Source organism: Homo sapiens, chromosome 18 (genome assembly GCF_000001405.40).
Source record: "Homo sapiens chromosome 18, GRCh38.p14 Primary Assembly".
NCBI lineage: Eukaryota > Metazoa > Chordata > Mammalia > Primates > Hominidae > Homo > Homo sapiens.
The window spans coordinates 48997215-49015964 of record NC_000018.10 but is presented as its reverse complement, the minus strand read 5'-3'; the positions used below and the strand labels follow the sequence as shown (position 1 = coordinate 49015964).

The 18750-nt window shown below is 50.0% G+C and overlaps 3 annotated features.

Annotated features, from left to right (window-relative positions):
- Positions 7261–7761: an enhancer, noted in NCBI's record as "H3K4me1 hESC enhancer chr18:46534574-46535074 (GRCh37/hg19 assembly coordinates)". NCBI's record gives its function as "activates a minimal SCP1, AML or CMV promoter by ChIP-STARR-seq in primed H9 embryonic stem cells {active_cell/tissue: H9 hESC(primed)}" and the evidence as "EXISTENCE:reporter gene assay evidence [ECO:0000049][PMID:30033119]".
- Positions 14153–15063: an enhancer, noted in NCBI's record as "H3K4me1 hESC enhancer chr18:46527272-46528182 (GRCh37/hg19 assembly coordinates)". NCBI's record gives its function as "activates a minimal SCP1, AML or CMV promoter by ChIP-STARR-seq in primed H9 embryonic stem cells {active_cell/tissue: H9 hESC(primed)}" and the evidence as "EXISTENCE:reporter gene assay evidence [ECO:0000049][PMID:30033119]".
- Positions 15656–15845: a silencer, noted in NCBI's record as "fragment chr18:46526490-46526679 (GRCh37/hg19 assembly coordinates)". NCBI's record gives its function as "represses an EF-1alpha promoter that drives an FKBP-Casp9 reporter gene in an ReSE screen in HepG2 liver carcinoma cells {active_cell/tissue: HepG2}" and the evidence as "EXISTENCE:reporter gene assay evidence [ECO:0000049][PMID:32094911]".

Genomic DNA, 18750 nt, shown 5'->3' with positions numbered 1-18750 from the left:
CACCTGAGGTTGGGAGTTCGAGACCAGCCTGACCAACATGGAGAAACCCCGTCTCTACTAAAACTACAAAAATTAGCCGGGCATGGTGGCTGGCGCCTATAGTCCCAGCTACTCAGGAGGCTGAGGCAGGAGAATTGCTTGAACCCAGGAGGCAGAGGTTGTGGTGAGCCGAGATTGTGCCATTGCACTCCAGCCTGGGCAACAAGAGCGAAACTCTGTCTCAAAAAATAAATAAATAAATAAATAAAATAAAAAGGAAGATGTAAAACGATCTCTGTTTGCAGATGACAAGATCTTAAGTATAGAAAATCCTGAAGAATCCATTAAGAGACAATTAGAACTAATAAGTTCAGCAAAATTTTCAGGATATAAAATCAATACACAGAAACTGACTTTATACACTAGAAATGAGGAACCTAAAATGAAATTTAAAGAACAATTCTATTCATAATAGCATAAAAAAGAATAAAATACTTAGGAATAACTTTAACAAAAGAAATGTAGCATTTGAGAGCGTGAGGCAGGCAGATCACCTGAGCCCAGGGGTTCAAGACCAGCCTGGGCAACGTGGCAAGACCCCATCTCTACAAAAAATAAAAAATAGCCAGGCTATGCTCTCAGCTACTTGGGAGGCTGAGGTGGGAGGATCACCTAAACCTGGGAGGTCAAGGCTGCTGGGAGCCATAATCTCACCACTGCACTCCAGGCTAGGTGATGGAAGTGAGACCCTCTCTCAAAAAAAAAAAAAAAAAAAGTAGATCTTTTTATACTCTAAAAACTATAAAACCTTGTTGAAGGAAATTTTTAAAAATTACAACAAATAGAAAGACATCCCATGTTCATGAATCCCATGTTCATGAATCCCATATTCACGAATTGGTCTTGTTAAGATGGCAATACTTCCCAAATCTATCTAGAGACTCAACACAATCCCCCTCTCTTAAGTCTCTGAAATGTCTATTTCTGTGAAGCAGAGATGGGGCCCTTATTTGGGAGAGTTGAGGGTCTCACCTTTATCATTCCCTCAGGACTGCCCGCAGCTAACACCAGAGGACTGTCCACCTTAGGGCAGTAAGTTTGTTGTGGAAGGAAAACCTGGATTCTGGGGCCAGACAGACCTGGTATGAATTCCAAAACTATGTGACCTTGAGTGTATTGCTTAATCTCTCTGAGCTTCTTTTTCACAAGTATAAGATGGGAATTGACGTCACCTATCTCACAGGGTAGTGAAAAATACAGAATATTTGTGAAGCACCTCTCATGTGGTCCAGCATACTCAGGGCACCCAACTAAGGTCAGCTCCTGCATGTGCCTTCTCTCACCTCCAGCACCCCCAGTGCTCCCGGGTCAGATGGATGCACCCACTTCGGGACAGGCCCAGGCCTAGGGAAGGGTTGGGACCCAGGGTGATGTGCACTCATGGACGTTGCCCGGTGGCCCAACCTCCTGCCACAGAGCTGGGACCCACTGGAGGCTCCCAGAGCCCTCGGGATCCTTCATCATCAGTGTAAGGGCAAGGTTCCCCCAACCCCCAGCTTCAAGGCTCCACAAAGAGATGGTTTGTGGGTGAGTGGGAGACACACAGCGTGGCTTCTGGGAGGCTTGTGGAGGGGCCTCAACCATGTGGCTAGACCTGAGGCTGAGGCTGGAGTTTCCCCGCACGAAAGCTGAGCCTCTGGGAGCCCCGAGTGAGGAATGTGCGTAACAAGTAACATCTGTGGAGCATAGCAGGCACAGGAATGAGCGTGTATAAACTCATTTAATGCTGATAACAACGCGATGGGGGAAGCGGTCTCTTCGCCAGCAGGTTTGCAGAGGCGGTAAGTGCTATCTTTCATCCCACGTTTACAGAGGAGGAAGCTGAAGGTAGCGGGCAGAAAGTGGTTGTGCTGGGGCTGAGGCCTGGGCTCTCTGGCTCTGGTGCTCTTTGCCACTTCTGTGTAGTTCCTCGGTCAGAAGCGTGAGGCAGCTGCCTTGGAAATGGCCACAGCCACTGTGAACTGGGTGAAGAAAGGTGTCACATGGGCTAACATGGCCCCAACTGGAGAGACAGAGTTGGATTCCCAGTTTTGTCCTTCACCAACTCTGTGACCTTGGGCAAAATCACTTACCCTCTGCAAGCCTCAATTTGCTCATCTATAAAACAGAGCTATAATCCACTTCTAGTTGATGGTGGATAATACTTCGAAAGAGCCTGCAGGCCCAATGAATAGCAGAGGCTTTTGTTAGCCTTTTAGAATGTAGGGATGCAGCATGAGAAATAAATCTGGAAGAGTAAGTCATCGGGCAGAGGGTCATAAATGCATTTGGATTGGGCTGTGATGGAGAAATCCAAGAATCTGTGCAAAGGGAAGGAAAAAGCATGCCAGGTGCCAGGAATAGAAATAGCCAAGCAGGGAGGTGGGAAGGTTCGAGAAGGAAAGTCAGACCCTCTCCAAGCATTACAACATTCAGCCTTCCCGAGAGCTCACTTCATAGAGGAGACACTGGAGCCTAAAGCACTGAATAACCTTCCCCGAGGCTGTGCAGCAGCGAGGGGTGGAGAAGGAATTCCCCTCTGTGAACGGCCAGCCTGCGGCCTCCCCAGCCTGACTCTCTATAGGGTGAAGTGTGGGCTGTGGGCTGTGGGCTGGGCGCCTGGGAGGAGGAGTGGGGCACAGAGGGAACGGGTGGCCTGGATCACGCACCCAATAGTCCAGCCTTGAAAACTCCAGGAAATTGACCCAGGGTGAAAAATAGAGAGACACACCGGCAAAGTCAAACCATAGTGGAAAAACATGTGAAGTCCAGCAAGAAGTGATTGTCATCAAATCAGAACGGTGGCTACTTATTAGGGGGAAGGAGGAGGAGAAGCTTGGGACTACTAGGAGGGGGCCCCCCAGGACGAGGATGGCTTCTGGGATGCTGGAAATATTCCCATGATCTGCGTGGCTGCAGGCATTTCCTTTTAAATCATTTATTCCACTGCACATTTGTCTTGAATGCACTTTAGTTGATGCCTATTTCATGATAAGAAAAGTTTTCGAGGCCAGGCATGGCGGCTCAGGCCTGTAATCCCAACATTTTGGGAGGGTGAGGCGGGCAGATCACGAGGTCAGGAGTTTGAGACCAGTCTGGCCAACATGGTGAAACCCCGTCTCTACTAAAAATACAAAAAAAATTAGCCAGGCATGGTGGCATGCGCCTGTAATCCCAGCTACTCGGGAGGCTGAGGCAGGGGAATTGCTTGAACCAGGGAGGTGGAGGTTGCAGTGAGCCAAGATTGTACCACTTCACTCCAGCCTGGGCAACAGAGTGAGACTCCATCACAAAAAAAAAAAAAAAGAAAAAGAAAAGTTTTTGAGAAGAAAAAACAAAAACCCCACAATAATAGGGCCAAGAAAGGGAGCACAGTCACAGGTAAGAGTGAGACTTTTACATCTCTAGGAAGTATTGTATACAGGCCAGGCCGGTGGTTCACACCTGTAATCCCAGCACTTTGGGAGGCTGAGGTGGGTGGACCACCTGAGGTCAGGAGTTTGAGACCAGCCTAGCCAACATCGTGAAACCCCATCTCTACGAAAAATACAAAATTAACTGGGCGTGGTAGTGCGCCTGTAATCCCAGCTACTCAGGAGGCTGAGGGAGAAGAATCGTGCAAATCCGGGAGGCAGAGGTTGCAGTGAGTCGAGATCACACCACTGCACTCCAGCCTGGGCGACAGGGCAAGACTCTGTTTCAAAAAAAAAAAGTAAAGTATTGCTGCGCCTTGAAAGTCGGGATGATATGGATGCATTTTTGGGAACGCGGGAGAAAATGAGAAGTGGTAGAAGGGGTCTGATTGGCTGGGCGCGGTGGCTCACGCCTGCAATCCCAGCACTTTGGGAGGCCTAGGCGAGCGGATCACCAGGTCAGGAGGTGGACACCATCCTGGCTAACACAGTGAAACCCGTCTCTACTAAAAATACAAAAAAAAAATTAGCTGGGCGTGGTGGCGGGCGCCTGTAGTCCCAGCTACTCGGGAGGCTGAGGCAGGAGAATGGCGTGAACGCGGGAGGCGGAGCTTGCAGTGAGCCAAGATCGCGCCACTGCACTCCAGCCTGGGCCACAAAGCAAGACTCTGTCTCAAAAAAAAAAAAAAAAAAAAGAAGGGGTCTGATCAGCTCCAGTACAGACCCCAGGTCTGGAACAGGGTCCAGGCAGCCCGCACACATAGGGCTTGCTTCTGCGATGGCTGCAGTTTTTGTATGTAGCATATAATGCTCTTACAATAGAGAACAACCCACATGCTTAACAAAGGGCAGCTATGCTCATGGCTGCTGAGCAGGGCTGGTCGGGCGGTGGTGAGGCTGTGCTCCAGAGGCCGCCCCTCCACTGGCGCATTTTCCAGAGGCGTCCTCCAGAGGCCTGAGTGATAAGGCTGGCGTCTCCCCTGGACTTGTAATGCAGTCAGTCAGGCAGTCTCCCCACTGGAGCCAGAGACCCCTTCTTCAGGAAAAGTCTATCAGCATATCTCCCCTATCTGGGTGCCTTGGAGGCGGTGCTGCAGAGAAGGCCCTGCTGGCTGGGTCTGCCCTCACCTCTCCCCTGGAGGCCAGCAGGATAGCATCTGGTAGGAGCAAATCACCCGCAGCTCCCGCTCACCTCCTTTCCTGGGGAAGTTTGGGGCCTGGATCAAACTAGTGGGCCAGGGAATGTGGCTGCAGCCCTGGGGGAGGCTAAGAGGCTGGGGTCCACCTGGCCCGGGGTCCCTGCCTGACATAATGCCCCTCCTGGTTAAGCCCCTCCAAGCTTGGCTCTTATACCAACAAGGTCTGAGGGTCTGAGTCTCCATCATGTTTACCCTGGGATTCAGGGAGGTGAGGAACAGCCAGAAAACAAAAGGAAATCCTTTGGCTACTTGGAAAAGGAAAGGGGTGAATAGGCATCATTTACAAAGTTCAAAGCTGACACACCATGAGAAAATAAATAATTTGCAATATATGTAAAATATAAAGTGTTAGTATCCTGAATCGCACATAAGAAAAAGGTAACACAATAGAAAAATAAGCAAAAGATGGGGAGAAGAAATTCCCAGAAGAAAATAAAATGGTTCATAAACTTATAAAAAGAGGCTTATTTGCTTCAGTGCAAATAGACAATAATGAGATTTTTTTTCTCTACCAGACTGGAAAAAAATAAAATATTGATAATATGCAGTGCTGGGAAGGATGTGGCTGAATAGCTCATTTACTGTCGGTTTGAATGAAAATGGATGCAGCCTTTTTGGGGTTAATTCAGCAACAGCTGTTCAACATATAAGTACATATTGCTTTCAACCCAGCAATTCTATGTCTAAGAAAACATTGCATAAAAGCACTTTCTTTTTTATTTTTGAGACAAAGTCTCGCTCTGTCGCCCAGGCTGGAGTGCAGTGGCGCAATCTTGGCTCACTGCAACCTCCGCCTCCGGGGTTCAAGCAATTCTCCTGCCTCAGCCTCCCGAGTAGCTGGGACCACAGGCGCCCACCACCACGCCCGGCTAATTTTTGTATTTTTAGTAGAGATGGGGTTTCACCATGTTGGCCAGGCCGGTCTTGATCTTCTGACCTCGTGACCCGCCTGCCTCGGCCTCTCAAAGTGCTGGGATTACAGGCGTGAGCTACTGCGCCCAGCCTCATAAAAGCCCCTGCACAGGCTCATGAAAATAGTTTGGACAGATGTCCATGCACCTTTGTCTGAATTAGCAAAATATTAGAGGCAGCTGAATGCCCACCAGGAACCATGAATTAGCAAAATATTAGAGGCAGCTGAATGCCCACCAAGAACAATGAATTAGCAAAATATTAGAGGCAGCTGAATGCCCACCAAGAACAATGAATTAGCAAAATATTAGAGGCAGCTGAATGCCCACCAAGAACAATGAATTAGCAAAATATTAGAGGCAGCTGAATGCCCACCAGGAACCATGAATTAGCAAAATATTAGAGGCAGCTGAATGCCCACCAAGAACAATGAATTAGCAAAATATTAGAGGCAGCTGAATGCCCACCAAGAACAGGTTGCTCCAATAAATTCTGGCGCCTCTACTATGAATCCCAGGCATGGCATGACTTAGAAATAACTTTTATGATAGTGTATCTTTAAGAGAAGAAGCAAGTCATGGAGGAACATGTAGAAGATGACCTCAAGTTTGCGGAAACAAAACAAATCAATGTTGATAATAAGAGAGAATAAACACACACAGAGAGAGGGAGAGACTGTCAAATGCAGAGAGTGGAACTAGAAGGAGGTGGCTAGGGATGGGGTAGACATTCATTTATTTTTCTTTCAAGTATTCTGTGAATATTTATTGAGAAACTAGTATGAACAAATGCTATTCTAAGTGCTGGAAATGCAGCACCTCCCCCCCTTTTTTTTTTTTTTTTGAGAAAGGGTCTTGTTCCATCACCCAGGCTGGAATGCAGTGGCTAGATCACAGTTCACTGTAGCCTCAGTCTCCCTGGCTCAAGCCATCCCCCCACCTCAGCCTCCTGAGTAGCTGGAATCAAAGCCTGGCTAATTTTTTAAATCTTTTATAGAGACGAGGTATTGCCATGTTGCCAGCCTGGTCTCAAAGTCTGGGGCTCAAGGAATCCTCCTGCCTTGGCCTCCCAAAGTGCTGGGATTACAGACGCGAGCCATTGCGCCCGGCCAACATTCACTTCTCCTTTAGATCTTTTGTGTTGTTTTAATATTTTTTCAGCAAACATATAAAGAAAAGTTAGAAAATAAAAGGGATGATCTTGAGAGATCCAGCAAAAGCTCTCAACTGAAGGTGACTGTTGGCGTCTGGGGGTGAGGGTGGGGACCGGAGTGTGCTCTGGGTTATGCATAGATTGGCTCATCCTTGAGCCCTTCATCTTTTTCAGCTGCCTCTGGCCTCTTTGACAGGACAGCTTCCCTCAGAACCACCCCACCCGCCCAGTGCTCAGTGGGAACCACTGCCTGTCTCCCTCTGTGGCCCTTCTAGGTTGGTCTTTCTGAAGTGCAGAGACCACCGGCGCCCCTGTTTCCACCCCAGGGCCCTAAGGCTGAAGCCTCTGAGATGGCTCCCTCCAGCCCTCCTTCCCCACGAGGCCTGAGCCTCCTGCTGAAACCCACCACTGTGCCAGGCCTAGGCCTCGGCTCTGCCCCCTTCCCTCTCTGCCAGGCAAAGCCCACTCACCCTGAAACTGCCCCGCTGCCTTCTGGCCTTGGCCCTGCTTCTGACAATGCCCTTGGCCCACCATTTTGTCATGGTCTCAGAAGGCTGGAAACCAGCCTCACTTAAAAGGAAAGGGATGTATCTGTGTGTGTGTGTCTGTGTGTGTGTGTGTGTGTGTGTGTATGTGTGTGTGTGTCTGTGTAGCCTTGAGGGGTGGTAATCTCAGAGGCTCCTGGGTCCTCTGCAGTCTCAACCAGGGTCCCAAACCAGTTGATGGATGGGTGGTTCTCCCTCAATGGGCAGAGAGTCCTGCTGCAGGGGACCCAGGTGGGGCAGGGAGAGGGACAGCAGCCATTCTCTCCCCTCAGGGCCACCAGCCATTTTTGGGAGCCACACGAGTCCTCCTGGACCTGGACTGTTCAATTGGCAGTGGTAGTTGGGAGGAGAGACACCAGCAACCCCTCACTCAGATCGTGATGTCCCCCAGCGCCCCCCAGGTCTCCCCATTACTGCGGAAGTGGGAGGAGCAATGCAAGACCGTCAAGCAGCCACGGGCTGACACTCCTCACAGACCAATTCACCCCCCTCCCCTGCTCCTGCGCTTCCCAATTTTCTTAAAATTAAACTTAAAAAAAAGTTACAAAACACACTTGTTATTTTAAAAATCCGAACAGTAGGGACGTATATACAGTAAATGTTGAAAAACCTCCACTCCCCTCCCACTCTCCAGAGCTTACTCCTCTTAATAGTTGAGAGTGAATCCTTCCAGACCTCCCGCAGTATAGAGAAGCGTTTCTTGTACACATGCACATTGTAACCAAAATGCTTCCCATTCTCCTACTGCCTCCAAAGTCAGCTCCCCAGCTTGGGGCCTGGGATCCTGCATCACCCGTCCTCCCTGGCACATCTCATTTTATTCCTGTATCCATTCAACAATTATCTAAGCATCTGCTATAGAGAACCAGACAGACAGACTCAGTCCGCGTGGAGCCTGCGCTCTGGTGAAGGAGACAGCAAGTAAACCAAGGAGATACTCTTAGATGTCGCTAAGTGTTTGTCGCTCCAGACCCCTCGTCACTGTCTCCTCGCCTGGAAGACCTTCACTGTCCCACTGACGTTGCAATTCCTCCCCATTCTCTAAAACGCATCTCTTCCTAATTACCCAGCCTGCTGGGATCTCTCTCCTCCTCCAAACTTCGTCACTACTTAGTAAGTGGTGCTATGTATTTCAGTTTTCACTATGAAGTGACATTTGTCCTGTGAGAGTGTTAGGCACCTATGTTAATCACCTAGGATGTGCCAGGTTCCGTGCTACAGAGTGAGGCCCGTTGATTAAAGGTCACAACCCTACAAATTTGTTATGGCCGTTTTACATATGAGGAAACTGAGGCACAGAGAAACAAAAAGACTGACTCAAGGTCACATAGGGTTGAAGCCCGGGTCAGCCTGAGCCCCAAGCCCAGGAAGGTTCTGCAAACTCCACTGCAGGAATCATGTCTCGGTCCTGTAGCCCCCATGACAGCCATCCCTGATTGCCTAGGGCAGCCCTGGCTTCAGTCCTTCTCCCCAGCGCATATAGAGTTTTGTTCTGAAAACGTGTTGTTCATCCCCTGAGCCTTGTGCTAGCTGAGTAGTGTGGTTTAGAAAAAAACATGGAGTGTGGATTTTGTGGGTGCCCCCCACTTTTCCCACCTCATGAAGGGGAGAGAAAAGGTCTGTGCATGGAAGAAATGCCAGGCTGAGAGAGGAGTGGGTGGAAGGAGGGGGCGGCCCCTGGGCTCTGCCTGCGCTGACGAATCCTCCCAGCGTGTTTTGACACGTCTCGCTCCGAGGAGGGTGTAATTATTTTCAGTAAGGGTTTCCTAACGTATCATTAATGGATCGTTTCCCGCCTGCTGCAGAAGGCGGTTGCTGAGAGACTGGGTGAAGGGGCACATTCTCTAAATGTGCATGAGAATCTAGAGGAAGCTGGATGGTGGCCCAGCCGCCACATCAGCCCACCCTGCTCCCCAGCCCCCTCCTCACCACAGCAGACTCCCAGGAGCCAAGCATTCCCTGCCCAGCACTGGGGGAATGAGAAATTCTGGAGCTTTCTTTGTGCCTTTTTCCAGGATGGATTGGTCCCAGGCCACTAGGCCCCGGGTTACCTTGTACTGCATGTTTCTCCAACGGTGGCTGTGTCCACACTGCAGTAGCGTGAGGCTGTGTGTCACCTCCTGCTAGTGGGATTCAGTGACCTTTTGAGAGGACTGGTAGAAACACCAAACACCAGCTCCTTTATCTGGGCAAACTCTTTTTGCCCAGTTTTGACAAACTGCTTATCCTCTCTGAATTCAGTTCTCTGTCCATAAAATGGAGATGGTAAGGGTGGAGGGGTGGGTGTGGAAAGGTTAATGGGCCGGGCGCGGTGGCTCACGCCTGTAATCCCAGCACTTTGGGAGGCTGAGGGAAGCAGATCACGAGGTCAGGAGCTTGAGACCAGCCTGGCCAACATGATGAAACCCTATCTCTATAAAAATGCAAAAATTAGCCTGGCATGGTGGCAGGCACCTGTAATCCCAGCTATTCAGGAGGCTGAGGCAGGAGAATTCCTTGAACCTGGGAGGCGGAGGTTGCAGTGAGCTGAGATCATGCCACTGCACTCCAGCCTGGGCAACAGAGCAAGACTCTGTCTCAAAACAAACAACAGACAAACAACAGCCGGGCACGGTGGCTCACGCCTGTAATCCCAGCAGTTTGGGAGGCCGAGGCGGGCAGATCACTTGAGGCCAGGAATTCAAAACCAGCCTGGCCAACATGGTGAAACCTTGTATCTACTAAAAATACAAAAAATTAGCCAGACGTGGTGGTGGACACCTGTAATCCCAGCTACTTCGGAGGCTGAGACAGGAGAATCGCTTGAACCCAGGAGGCAGAGGTTGCAGTGAGCCAAGATCACACCACTGCACTCCAGCCTGGACAACAGAGCGAGACTCCGTCTCAAAAGAAAACAAAAAACAAACAAACAAAAAAAAAACAGAAAGAAAGGTTGGTTCATGGGTACAAACATGTAGTTAGATAGAAGGAATAAGCTCTAGTGTTTGATAGCAGAGTATGGTGACTTTGGTTAACAATAATTTATTGTATATTTTAAAATAGCTAAAAGAGAAGATTTGAAACGTTCCCAACACAAAGAAATGACAAATGTTCAAGGCACTAGATATGCTCATTGCCCTGATTTGATCATTACACATTGTATGCATATATCAAAAGATATCACATGCAGCCCCAAATAACGTACAATTATCATGTATCAAAAAAAGTCAAATAACCAAACTTACACCAAATAAAATCAAGTACTCTAACAGTAAAAAATACATTAATTAAAAAGATAAAAAGCAAAAGCAATTATTTTTAAGAGAAAAAATGGAGATGGTGCCTTGAGTTTGTAGAAATTCTGAGAGAATTAGAGCTAATGTTTGAAAAGAAGTCAGAATAAAACATGCTCAAGAACTAGTGGTTGGTGGGAATTGAACAATGAAAACACTTGGACACGGGAAGGGGAACATCACACACCGGGGACTGTTGTGGGGTGGGGGGAGGGGGAGGGACAGCATTAGGAGATATACCTAATGTTAAATGACGAGTTAATGGGTGCAGCACACAAACATGGCACATGTATACATATGTAACTAACCTGCACGTTGTGCACATGTACCCTAAAACTTAAAGTATAATTAAAAAAAAAAGAAATAGTAGTTATTGCTGTTTGGGGTTATGTGGATTTTTCATTCATTCATTCAACAAAGACTTATTCTGTGCTTCCCCAGCCAGAGTCAGGCAGATTTATCGGCACTCAGGATGCCTCAGTGAACAAAAGGGGCAAAGATTCCTGTCCAAATGGAGTTGACATTCTAGTGGGAGAAGTTAGCCTCTAAGCAATAACATCATAAGAAAATTACATGAAATAGAAGAAGATAATAAATAGTGACAAAGGGAGTTGAAATTTTATTTTATTTTTTTTTGACACAGAGTCTCACTCTGTCACCCAGGCTGGAATGCAGTGGCGCTATCTTGGCTCACTGCAACCTCCCAGGTTCAAGTGATTCTCCTGCCTCAGCCTCCTGAGTAGCTGGGACTACAGGCACCTGCCACCATGCCCAGCTACACTATTGTATTTTTAGTAGAGACAGGGTTTCATCATGTTTGCCAGGCTGGTCTCAAACTCCTGGCCTCAAGTGATCCAACTGCCTCAGCCTCCCAAAGTGCTGGGATTACAAGCGTGAGCCACCGCACCTGGCTAATATTTTTGTATTTTTAGTACAGATGGAATTTGGTCACGTTGGCCAGGCTGGTCTCAAACTCCTGACCTCAGGTGATCCGCCCACCTCAACCTCCCGAAGTGCTGAGATTACAGGCGTGAGCCACCGCACCTAGGCCAAGAGTTGAAATTTTAAATAGAGAAGGGGACACTGAGCTGAGACTTGAAGGAGGTGAGAGAGTGGGTGATACAGGTACAGAGAGCACAGCCAGGACACAGGCTGAGGGCAGGGCGTGTTTTGGTGTCCGCTGGTCGGCAAGGAGGGCTCTGTGGCTGGAATGAAGTGATTGATTGGGGTGTAGGGGCGCGGGGCCCATCAGGTAGGTCCTTACAGACCAGTAGTCCTCAAACTTGAGCCAGGACTGTCAGGACCACCTGGAGGATTTGGGAATCCCAGCTTGCTACTCCCCCAGCCCCACCCAGAGTCTCTGGTTCAGTAGGTCCAGGCCAGGGCCTGAGAGACTGCATTTCTAACAAGCTCCCAGGTGCAGGTATGGGTGGTCTGGGGGCCCTACTTTGAGAACCGCTGTAAAGATCACTGCCAGGTCTTTGGTTTTACCCTGGGTGAATGGCAGCCCTTGAAGGGGTCAGCATTTTGAGCAGAGACTCAGTGATATGGCCTGCATTTTGAAAGGATTCTCTGGTTGCCATGTTGATGTGAGGCTGCAGGGGAACGAGGGTGGACACAGGAAGGAGAGTGAGGAATTGAAATTTCCAGATGAGATTGCCGTGGTAACGCCGGTGGGGAGAGGTGGTGGATTCTGGCCATATTTTGAAGGCAGAGCCAATAGTATTTCCTGATGGATTGGACACTCGGTAGGAGAAAGAGAGAGGCCAAGGGTGACTGCAAAGTTTTTGGCCTGAGTAATACGAAGCTGCCATGAGCCCAACTGGGGAATCCTTCAGGAAGAACAGTTTGGGGAGGAGAAGCTCAGGAGGTCGGCTTTGTTGAGTTCAGGAGAGAGGTCTGGGCGGGAGAGTGAATGTGGATGTTGTCAGCCAACAGGTAAGATTGGATGAGACCATCAAGGAGACAGGGAGCCAAAGGGGCAGGGTGGAGTTCAAGGACCAAGTTCCGGGCATCTAACCCAAGAGGGCAGGGAGGAGAGGAAGGAGTCTAGGAGGAGGCAGGGGAGGAGGGAGAGGAGGTGGGGGAGGAGGGGGGAGGAAGGGGGAGGGGAAAAGGGAGGAGGATGGAGAGAAGGGAAGGAGGAGGACGAGGAAGAAGGGAGGAGGTGGAAGGGAAAATGGAGGAGGGGGAAGGGAAAAAGGAAGGGGACAGGTAGAAGGGGAGGAAGAGGGGGAGGAGGGGAAGGAGCCTGTGTGAGGAGGGAAAGGCAGGAGGGTTATGCCTGGAAATGAAGAAAGTGAGTCAAGGGGGAGGACATCCCTGCGAATGCTGCTGATAGATCAGACACATCAGGCCAGGTGACGACTCAGACGCCACCGCTGGGCTCGATATCATGGGTTATTTGGGTTCCTGTCATTCCTTCAGGTTCGTGACTGACTCAGTCGTGCATTCATTCGGGCATCTGCTGAGCACCAGCTCCGGGCCAGGCTATGTTCCAGGCAGTGTCAGGGCCATGGAGAAATGGCAGCCCCTTCCTACCCTTGAGGCAGGTTCAGGGGCACCCTGGTGTGTACAAAGCACTTTAGCCATTGCAAGGGGTTTCTGCAGAAATTCTTTATTCTCATTCTTCACAAAGGCATGTGGGAAGAAGGGGAAATATTGTTATCTGAGGGCCCTGTAGCCCAATGTGGCTCCGAAGGGGTTAGGTGCTGAAGTTTTGATGAGAATCTAAGTTTTCAGGCCTTTCCATGTGTCAAGGCTGCCTGGCAGAAAGCCTCTGGGTAGTTGGAGGACACTTGAGCAGTCTGTTCCTGTGTTTTTCTTGGGTTTTCTACTTTTTAATTAAATAAGTAATCATGAATTTGTGTCAACTGCGCATGATTTAGATGATACCAAAACATACAGCGTGGAGTGGGCGTCTTTCTCCCTCCTGACCTTCCGGAGTCACAGCCGTCCCAGGCTTGCTGTGTGCCCTCCAGGGTCCATGCTGACAGCAGAAACAGAGGCAGCAGGGAGGCTTCTCCCATTATATACGCGGGTCTCATGGTGCGTGTGCTCCTGCAATTTGCTTCTTGTTCTCACTGTGTCTTGAAGACCCTTTCTTGTCAGAACCAAAAATCCATTTTCATAGACTCTGGTGGCCTGAATGCTGCCCGGCCCCCAGCCCCTTGGGACTCCCCACCTCCCTGCTCAGCTGGGCCAGGGAGGCTCCCAGCCAGGAGGTCAGAGGCAAAATGAGGCGGTGAGAAACTCCTGCCCGCTCCCCTCCGAGGCTGAGGCTTGGTCAAGGCTGTGTTCTTCCCCCACCGAGTCCCGCAGGTCAGTCCTCAAAAAGCAGCTCTCTCCCTGCTCTGTCACCCACCCTGCAACGGGAACTGTCTTCCTCCTAAGCCTTCAAGCTGGGCAGGTGGTGCCTTGTCTCTCCTAACCTGCCCCGCACCTTTGTAAGTTGTCCCTCCACCCCCTTGTCTGTCACCCCTTCGAGGCCCCTCTAGGACTCCCTGTGGGGACCATGCCCCAGGCAAGCACTTTCTAGGTCCAGGCACAGCTCGGGGTCCTTTTCAAGCATTAACTCATGCAGTCCTCACACCAGCCCTCAAGATAGGAATTGTCAGCCCCATTTTGCAGGTGAAACACCAAGGTCCAGTGAGGTGAAGCACCTTGATCTCACTCACCCTGCAGGTGTATTAGCTGGGCCCCTAGGATGGAATGGTGTCTCATGCTTTCTACATGTGACCTTTGGGGCATTTGAAGCCGGGAGTGTGCTGGGTGTGGACACGGGATAGCTTCCCCTAATTGCCCACCTTCCTTCTCTTCCTTCCTTTCCTGCCTCCCTCTCAAGCCATCCAGCCCTCAAGAGTAGCTGCTCTGGAGGCCAGTGTAGTGGCGCAGGCCTGAGGCCTCAGTGGAGGAAGGCTCAGATTCAAGGAAGACACACACGTGGCAGGCCCTGGAGGAGAGGCAGCCCAGAGCCTGTCTCCTCCTGGGGCCTCGGCCCTGAGCAAGCTCGGCCCTGAGCACATTCCCTCCTTCTACTCCCCACTCCCCTGAAGGTCCTGTGCTCTGCCCAGGAAGGGCATGGAGTCCAGGTCTGCCTAGAGCCTCGGGTTGAGGCAAAGGGCACGATGCCAGCTGGCCTCATCAGAGGGGTTGAGCCTGCGGGTATGAGGGCGAAAACTCCAGGCTGGGTCCTGGATCTGGGGGCTCCGAAGGCTGTGGAGGGAGCCACAAGGCACCCCTTGCTCCACCAGACCCCAGCTGCCTCCGCCCCACCCCACAGCCCAATTCACCCAGCAGATTCAGGAGAACAGAGACCTAATTATTTCTACCAACGGCCTTAACGAGATTTCACAGAAAGGCTCAAACTGCTCCCCCATCTCCTCCCTGCCACCTCCACCTTCCCTGCTCTCCCATCCCAGGGCCTCTTGTGCTTCTTGAGAACCTCATTTTTCCAGGATACTTTTCCATCAAAAAGAGACTAATGAGCCTGGCACGGTGGCTCAGACCTATAGTCTCAGCTACTTGGGAGGCTGAAGCAGGAGTATCAGTTGAGTCCAGGAGTTCGAGTCTAGCCTGTGCAACATAGTGAGACCTCATCTCTAAAAACTAAAAAGTAAATTTAAGGCTAGGCACTGTGGCTCACGCCTATAATCCCAGCACCTTGGGAGGCTGAGAATGGCAGATTGCTTGAGCCCAGGAGCTCAAGACCAGCCTGGGCAACATGGCAAAACGCTGTCTCTATTAAAAATACAAAAATTAGCCGGGCATGGTGGTATGTGCTTGTAGTCCCAGCTAGTTGGGAGGCTGGGGTGGGAGGTTCGCTTGAACCCAAGAGGTCAAGGCTGCAGTGAGCCATCATCACACCACTGTACTCCAGCCTGGGTGACAGAGCAAGACCTTGTCTTAAAAAAAAAAAAAGAAAGAAAGAAAGAAAAGAAAAGAAAAAAGGCAGGATGTGGTGGCTCACTCCTATAATCCCAGCACTGTGGGAGGCTGAGCCAGGCAGGTCGCTTGAGGACAGGAGTTTGAGACCAGCCTGGCCAACGTGGCAAAACCCCGTCTTTATTAAAAATACAATTAGCTGGGTGTGGTGGCGGGCGCCTGTAGTCTCAGCTACTCAGGAGGCTGAGGCGGTAGAATTGCTTGAACCCAGGAGGCGGAGGCTGCAGTGAGCTGAAATCGAGCCACTGCACTCCAGCTTGGGCAACAGAGTAATACCCTGTCTCAGAAAAAAAGAACAGAGATGCTTGATGTCACTAATCATTAAGGAATGCAAATCAAAATGACAATGAGCTAGCACCTCACACCTATTAGGCTGGCTACTATTTTTTTAAAATAGAGAAAATAAAAAATGTTGATGAGGACGGAGAAATTGGAACCCCTGTGCACTGCTGGGGGTAGGTAAAATGGTGCAGCCGCTGTGGAACATAGTACGGTGGTGCCTCAAAAACCTCCACATAGAATTACCATATGATCCAGCAATCCCATTTGTGGGTATGTGCTCAAAAGAACTGAAAGCAGGGTCTTGACGACATTTCTGCACACCAGTGTTGACAGCTGCACTGTCCACCACAGCCAAGGGGTGGAAGCAACCAAATGACCCTCCGCAAATGAACGGGTAAAAAAAATGCGGCCTATCTACACGATGGAATACTATTCAGCCTTAAAAAAGAGAAGGAAATCCTTTCATGAGCTACAACATGGATGAACCTTGAGGACATTATGCTGAGTAAAATAAGTCAGTCACAAAAGGATAAATACTGTATGATCCCACTTTTACGATGTATCTAGAGAAGTCGAAATCATGGAAACAGGCTGGGCGCAGTGGCTCACGCCCGTAATTCCAACACTTTGGGAGGCCCAGACGGGTGGATCACTTGAGGTCAGGAGTTCGAGACCAGCTTGGCCAACATGGTAAAACCCTGTCTCTACGAAAAATACAAAAATTAGCTGGGTGGGCTGGCACATACTTGTAGTCCCAACTACTCGGGAGGCTGAGGCACAAGAATCGCTTGAACCTGGTAGGTGGAGGTTGCAGTGAGCGGAGATCGAGCCACTGCACTCCAGCCAGGGCGACAGAGCAAGACTCTGTCTCAAAAAAAAAAAGTCATGAAACCAGAAAGTCAAATGGTGGTTGCCAGGGACCGGGGGGTAGGGAAGAGGAGTTGTTTAATGGGAACAGAGTTTCAGTTTGGTGAGATGAGAAAGTTCTGGTGAGATGAGAAAGTTCTGGAGATTTGTCACATGGCAAGGTGAACAAAGTTAACACCACTGAACTGAACACTTAAAAATGGTTATGAAGGTAAATTTTATATTATGTGCTTTTTACCGCAATTAAAAACAAAAATAAATATAAACTGACCAATGAACAAATTATAAAATCTTATTTTAGTGGATAGCCTGTGTTTGCTTGTTTAGGGGCTTAGAGCTCTATTTTTACTGATACACACACTGACTTCATTATATTTTCAAAACCCAACAAGCAGGTCACCTCCATTCTCATCGGCCAGCACCTTCTCCCACCGCAGCCCTGTTCTAGCATCCCACGGCCTCTCGAGATCTTACGTCTTCCCCAGCACCCTGGAAGGGCCCTGGGCAGAGCACAGGGCTAAGACCTGATGCCTGGCCGAGGGTCTTGGAGCCTGAGGACTGTTGGCTCCTGCAGGACAGGCAGCTCTGCTCAAGCCAGGAGAGGAATGTCAGAGCCCAGAGGGTGCCCAGGGCCCCTGAGACGCTTGCCAAAAGGGAAAAGCTCAGCAGCTGGTCAGGGAGGGGACGCTGGGCAGGAGTCCCTTGGCTCTCAACCTTGGCTGCACACTAGAATCTCACGGTTACATCAGAATCAGGATATTTTAAAGCACCCTAGGTGGTTCCAGCATGGAGCCGAGGCTGAGAACCACTGCTCTAGAGAATGGGATGGAAGGGTGTCCCCACGGGGCTCAGGACTGGGCCTGTTGTCAGTGGGAGGTCTGGCTCGGGGCCAGGACACCCTCCCAGCCTCCACCCCAAGGCTGGTGAGCGCAGCTCTCAGCCGCACCTGACCTTAGTCAAGAACTGGCAGGCAGGCACCAAGGGTCCCGCCTGGAATTCCAAGGCAGTCACGCATTCCCCACCACCCTGGGAGCCAGGGGTGTTACATCATGTCCAGGGCCCTGAGTCACTACGGATGTCTCTCCTGATGGCCACAGAAAAGCAAGCACCCAGCAGGAGGGAGGAAGCTGTGAGCACAGCCCCACGCCCACGTCCCCTCTCAGAGCAGCCCCATAAACAGGACCAAGCTATTTTAGGGGAAGAAGATCAAATGTGGGGATCAGTTCCCCCAGCTACTTTTGACTCAGTCCTTCAGGCTATTTCTGTGAGGGCGCAGGCTGGTGTCACCCCGCGTCACCAAGCACTCTGGGCCTGAAATTAAATGTGTCTGCTGGAAGAATGAGTGTGAATTCCTATAGGATAGATGGTTGCCTGGCAACACAGTGTCACGGCCAAAACATGGGCCAGGGCAGGATGGGCGCGGGAGACACTCAGGTTTGCAAAGTGCCAACTCAAGCCTGTGACAGTCTCAAGGGTCTCTGAGACTCAAGAAACTGATATTTGCCCAGGACGCCTGTGGACCTTTAATCACAACGAAAGAGGGTAGAGTGTGGAGCTGAGCCTTGTGCCTCTGGACACATTACAGCCTGGGCCTCTACCAGGACCCAGCACCGAATTATGATCAGTAATTCTGTATTATTTTCCTGAAGGAGACACTCTTGCAAATTGTGTAAGCTTCAGGGCCCCTCAAAACCTGGAGAATCTTCTGACCCCTTTCCATACCAAAAGAAAAACTTCTACGTGTGAGTATCCAGATAAATTTTATGTAAAATAAACACCCCGGCAATGGAAGGCTCATGGACCAAAGCTTTGGTCAAACACTCAGTTAAAATCAGTTCTGGGTAAATAATTGGGAACTGGCAGGAACTTTAAAATCCACCTAGCTCGTCCCTTTTCTAAGAGAGGGAAATGCAGCTCTGAGAGGTAAGGCGGCGCTGCCCCCCTTAGAGGGTTTTCAGCAGCGCCTCCCATCTCTGCAGGTCCCTGGAGCTGGCAAGAAGGGGAATTGACCTATGATTAGTTTTGAAAACGTGCCTGGGAGGTGAAAGACACAGGGTGCAATGTGGCATTTTTATTATTCTTGTGATGTCATCACTTTGAGAAGCTTATCTATACACACATCTCCCCACCCAAACAACAAAGTCAG